Source organism: Homo sapiens, chromosome 9 (assembly GCF_000001405.40).
Source record: "Homo sapiens chromosome 9, GRCh38.p14 Primary Assembly".
Lineage (NCBI taxonomy): Eukaryota > Metazoa > Chordata > Mammalia > Primates > Hominidae > Homo > Homo sapiens.
Window position 1 is genome coordinate 42,783,372 of NC_000009.12, and position 6,237 is coordinate 42,789,608.

The window sequence follows — 6,237 nt, forward strand, 5'->3', positions numbered from 1 at the left end:
CCTCTCAAAGTGTTGGGATTACAGGCGTGAGCCACCGCGTCCGGCCCCATCTGTTATTATTCAAGGTATTTTAGTGCATCACCGCGCACACGATCTTGGGTCTCGCCATTATTTTGTTATCTCTGTACTTGAAGAAGAGAGACATTCTGACTGGCATTAACTCAACATTTTGTGTGATGGACTATTACATATGGCTCGGAACGCATTTTTGTTTGCTATATAGAAATGATCTTCTCTTCTGTGTGATAAATGATACAGCTAAAAGTCTCAGAATTAATCAAACTTACCATCAATTAATTTCAAATTTTTGACTAGCTTCCTTAAGTATTTAAATTATTATGATTTGCAAAATAACCTTGAAAGTCATTCAGTCAAAATGGCTTTGAAATAAAATCATCACATGTTAAAGTAAGAAATTATATCCTACCTAATAAGGACAATAGATACATTAAAATAGTCTCATCAAGTATTTGTCTTTAGTTAGTAGTTATTTCTCCAAGAAAGTATTAACTTCAATTTTGAACAAAGTTTTCTTTCTTTTTCTGGCAGTATCAGCCTTTTGCCAAGCTGAACACAAGGGGATGAAAAGAAAATCTGGGCTCGAATGTGCAATTTCCTATTTTATGTCAAGGCAATTTACAACATATCATAAAGCTGCATTAATAAACAGATGTTCCACAGTCTGCAGAATATAAAATAAATGACTTGAATAAGCTATGAAGACCAAGGCATTTTGTGGAGCAGATTTTTTTGTCTTAAAGTTTTATCTCATGCAATCACTGCATATAACACAAACTTATATAATCAATGCTTTTAGCAACACGTCATAGTAGAACCAAGGCCCAGTTGTTAGCTGAAATCTATATAAATATAGGTATGTAGAATAGTTAGGAAATATAAATGTTAGCATATGCTCTTTATTGTTGATGATATCAATAATTCTTTTATGAACTCAGAAAAGTTTTTTCTCTTTATATTCAAAATGAAGTTTTCTAATTACTCTCTTTTTCACAGGGTTCTCCCCGTCTGCAAATTATACCCATTACAGCTATTTCTTTTAAGTAAATATCTCCTTTGAATCAGTCTTAGTTTCTCCAACACCTAGACAATGCCTGGCACATGTAAAGGCATTCAGAATACAAGTAAATGCATGCATAAAATGAATAAATATATTTACAAGATATTTATAGACATGTCATAGGAATGTGGGGGCCAAGAAGAGGGATTCTAGCTTTTGGGTAGATACAATTGCAGATAATAACAATAACTTACAAGGTGCCTAAAATATCAAGTTACCGTTCTAAATGTGTTAGATCTATTGGTTCATATAGTGCTTGCAAAAGCCCTTGAAGTATAGTTTTATTATACTTACCATTATATAAATAGAGAAACTAAGGCAGGGAGAGGTTATGTTGTTCCAGGTTCACGTGACAATTCAATGGCAGAGCTTGATTCAAATTTCATACTTTTAACTTACGTACAATTTTGCCTACCATCAAGACATTCTTCTTGCTGAATGGAAAAAGGCCCTCAAAGGGAATTTATGGAGTACTATTACACATAAATAACTCTGCATATAAGTAATTCTTCTGTGGAATGATTTCATCTTATATTCTCAGAGAATGACACATTTTATGTCAAATAAATACAGGAGAAAGAAAATGATTTTATAAATGTTACTAACACTATCCTAACAAATGGAAGAGATATGATAAACTTTACATTCTAATTTGAAATTTATGAAAATGATAAACAAAACACTGTTTTGAGTAGACTCTATCTCTTATTTTTGTGAGGCCAAAATATCTAATACATTTATTTTATGAAATAAATGCTTAGGGATTATTTTATTTGTTGTTGTAAGGAATTATGCCTACTGAAATGGACAAAGCATTGTGATTAGTGTTGGGTCTTTTGGCTCAGACTCACCTAAAGGGAACAAAGAGGAACAACCAGATGGTGAAATGGAGGTTCCTCCATCCTCTGATAGCTTGACTACCATTGCATTTTAGTAAATCGTTAAATCGTATACTATGCTTATGACAACTTAATTTTTTTTTGTAATTGATGATGGAACTGATAAGTTCTTGTATACCCTTGCTTGTTAGATCAGGAGAGACTCAGGACAGACATCAGGAAGAATTTTCTAGCTGGAGTGTTGTTAATCACTTGCCCACAGTAAAAAAAGCCTGCAGAACAGTCTTTTTTTGATGAGAGTTAAGGCAATAAGACAATTAATAGTCTAACCCAGTAACAGCTGAATTGGTCAGATATCCTTTAAGGCTTCTCAGAAGCCTCCTCAGCACATGAACTTGAGCTCTTACATAATTTTCTCATTCATAGTGACTGCATTGTGCTTGCAATCTCATGTCCTATTATTTAAGGTACTTAGTGCATCACTGCATACATGACCTTAGGTCTTGTCATTATTTTGTAATCCCTGTACTGGAAGAAGAGAGACATTCTGACTGGCATTAACTCAACATTTTGTGTGATGAACTATTACATGTGGCTCAGAATGCATTTTTGTTTGCTATACAGAAATGATCTGTTAATTATATGTGATAAACAATACTGCTAAAAATCTCAGAATTAATCAAACTTACCATCAATTAATTTCAAATGTTCACTAATTATTAGCGAGAGAGGAGTGTTGAATTATCTAATCATAATTGTACATTTGTTGATTTCTTCTTTTAGTTCAATTAATGTTTGCCTTTTGCCAAATTTGGGTAATTTTTCCTGTTAGGTTTTCAAAATTCTTTCAGCACTGCATTCCTTTTCCTTTTCTCCTTCTGAGACTCAGATGACATGTATGTTGGAACTTTAATTATTGTTCCTCAAGTCTCTAAGGCTCTAATCGAGACTTTTTCATCTTTCTTTCTCTCTATTGTTCAGATTAGATAATTTCTGTTGATTTATATTCACAATAACAGATTCTTACCTCTTTAGTTTTATTGTAATAAAAAGCTTACTTAGAATTTTGTATGTCAGTTATTGGATTTTTTGGTCCTAATATATTCATTTTGTTCCTTTTTACATCTTCTATTTATTTTCTGATACTTCTAGTTTTCCATTGGTATAAAAGTGTTTGCGACCGGGCATGGTGGCTCACGCCTGTAATCCCAGCACTTTGGGAGGCCGAGGCAGGCAGATCATGAGGTCAAGAGATCGAGACCATCTGGCCAACATGGTGAAACCCCTTCTCTACTAAAAATACAAAAATTAGCTGGATGTGGTGGCGCATGCCTGTAGTTCCAGCTACTTGGGAGGCTGAGGCAGGAGAATCGTTTGAACCCGGGAGGCTGAGGTTGCAGTGAGCCTAGATTGCACCACTGCACTGTAGCCTGGGTGACAGAGTGAGACACGGTCTCAAGAAAAAAAAAAAGTGTTTGCAACCACTTGTTGGAACATTTTTATAAAAGCTGCTTTAAAATCCTTGTGATGTAATTCAAATTTATTTTTCTTCTCAGTATTGGTAGCTACTTAGTACTGACTGTCTTTTCTCATGTGGGGTACAGTTTATCTGTTTTTTTGTAATTTTGGATTGTGTCATGGACATTAAGTTTTGAGGCTCTGGATCTTCATAAAATATTAGGCGGATGGATGCTATTTTTGTTTTAGAAGCAATTGACCTTGTCATATTCAAGCTGCAAGTTCCAATCTGTGTTTTGTGAGCTGTGGTTCCAACAATCAGTTGAGTTTTCAAAGCCTTTCCAGTTTTCTTCAGATATGTCCTGGTGGTCAGTGTGGAACTCGGATGATAATCTGCTAGCTTCGTTCTCAAAATCTTTGGTTAACTAATTAGGAGCAGATCCACACACATGCAGCTTGGGGATGCGCTCAGTTCATTAAAAACTTTATGGTGTCACTTTCTCATACTCCTTCCCCTCCACAATGTCTCCAATATTTTCTGGTTCCCTGGAGCTCCTCTTTTCTGTTTTCTGGCCAGAATGCTGGGTCTTTGATTACGGTACTCTGCTACAGTGTTTCATGGCTGCACCCATGTTTGGAGCCAGGTGACAGGTGGCAAAATGAGAAAAGACTTTAAAAAGTTTGCATCACCCTCTTGGGATCACTACTGCACCAACTGGAGAGGAAGATGCCCTGGCCTCAGTGTTTTGTTTCTCCTAGGCACCACCTACTGCTGCCACCACAGGAATTCTTGGGGGCCAGATCACAAGGGCTCAGAGAAAACAAACAACAACAAAACGGAGGGATTTCTGCATTCTCTCAGAGTAATAGGGGTCCTCTTTCCTGACCAAACCCGTAGGGCTTATCCTTGATCTCAGCAATTGCTGAGAAACTGTTCCACACTTTACATGGAAAACAGACTTTCTTGTTTGCCTCATCCCTACCAGTGTCTTTCTCCCTACACCTAAGGTCAATTACCAGCTGCCCTTTATCGTTGAACTTGATGCTTTCTTCTCATAGTAGAATTAAGAGGAAAGTAAAATATTTTTTGTACCTATATCTTTATTATATTTAGACAAATCACAGAGTGAGAGAGTAGGGGTTTCAAGAAAAATAGGAGAGAGATAAAGGAGAGAGAAAGAACTGCTTGTGGAAATACAGAATATCCCACATTTTCAATGTGGAAAGTGTATGAGGGTATGAAAGAAAATACTCAGTTTTTTTTGTCCTGTAAGAGGCAGCATTGACAAATGTGTACCAGAGTTTGGGTACATTTGAGCCAGTTCTTCAGAATCGTGGGGTGGGAAATAGAACAAAATTATTTACACCTAATTCTAGGCAGATAAGTGTGCTTCAAGGAAAGGCAAGGGCCTGGCTAGATTCTAGATGTTTTTAAACTGGAGGCCAGAGACAGCTTTAGGGAGTCCATATACAGGCACAAATTTATTTCTTTTATAGTCTTCTTGCTCTTTGAAAATGGTCTTTATGCAAATACTCACTATATAACCAAAGTTTCTCTTTGTTCCAGGCAGCAGTAGGGCTGATTGGAGCCATTGTACGTGTCGGGAACATATCAGAACACCGAGAATAGCGTCATGTCATAAGGACTCAGAGCAGGTGGACCCTGCTGTGATGCACAAAGGTGAGGGTGCAGCTGCCCAGGACACACTCATGCATGTTTGTGTGGACCATGGAAGATGGCAGGGGAAGAGCTGTCAGGTTGTTGGGGCAGAGGGTGCGCATGAGTACTCGCCTGTAAGTCATGTTGTAGAATCACCTCGCACAGCCACTGTATCTTCCCACTAGCATCACCAGATAACTCCTTTATCGTCACTTCAGTAATGCTTGATTTTGTCTGACTTTTTTATGTTTACCAGTTCAGATAAAGAGAATTGCACTCTCATCATTGCTATAATGTACACTTTTTTGACTACTAACGAGTCTGAGAATCTTTAGATACATTTGTTAGTCATTAATGTTTTCTCTCTCTCTTTTTTCTGTTTTTTGAGATGGAATCTTGCTCTGTTGCCCAGGCTGGAGTGCAGTGGCATGATCTCAGCTCACTGCAACCTCTGCCTCCTGGGTTCAAGTGATTCTCCTGCCTCAGCCTCCCGAGTAGCTGGGGCTACAGGTGCCCCCCACCACACCCAGCTAATTTTTGTATGTTTAGTAGAGACGGGGTTTCACCATGTTGGCCAGGCTGGTCTCAAACTCCTGACCTCGTGATCCATCTGCCTCAGCCTCCCAGAGTGCTGGGATTACAGGCATGAGTCACGGCGCCCGGCCCTGTTTTCTCTTCTTAATCTGTTTGTACTTTCATTTACTTTTTCTTTCCTCTTTAATAAGAGGTTTTTATTTTGGATATCAATCTTTATGTCTTCAATAATGTTGTAAATATCTTTTTGTTCCCACTAGCTTTTCTTACAAACTTATTCCTAGTGTCTTGTTGCACAGAAATTTTATTTTATTATGGTCAATTTTTTCGGCCTTTATCTCTATAATTTGTATGGGGTTCTTTTCTTGTTTGTTTTTGATTTGTATAAAAGTGATTTTTTACCCTAAAGTCAAAAGTTAAAATTTAATGTTTTCTTCCTATTTCAGAGGACCACGCAAGATATGATAAAGATCTATGTCACTGAATTTTGGTTCAATTTTTGTATCTCAGCTTCCCGGAAATAAAAAAGAATTCTAACATTCATACTTTCAGTATTTTATGTGAGAGGTTTTGTTGTCAAAATCAAGTCTGAGAGCAATGTTTATTGGGGTCTTTAATTGGAGTCACCAAGCGATAAAGGGGACATTGTCCTCAACAATAAAACTATA

At 37.1% G+C, this 6,237-nt stretch overlaps 1 long non-coding RNA gene across 1 annotated transcript; it reads left to right on the forward strand.

Moving 5' to 3' along the window:
- The first annotated feature begins 5,028 nt into the window (after positions 1–5,028).
- On the forward strand, positions 5,029–6,237 carry XLOC_007697 (uncharacterized LOC105500239). The gene is made up of 2 exons (NR_131213.1): positions 5,029–5,056; positions 6,016–6,237. It is a non-coding gene; the product is annotated as an uncharacterized LOC105500239 (long non-coding RNA).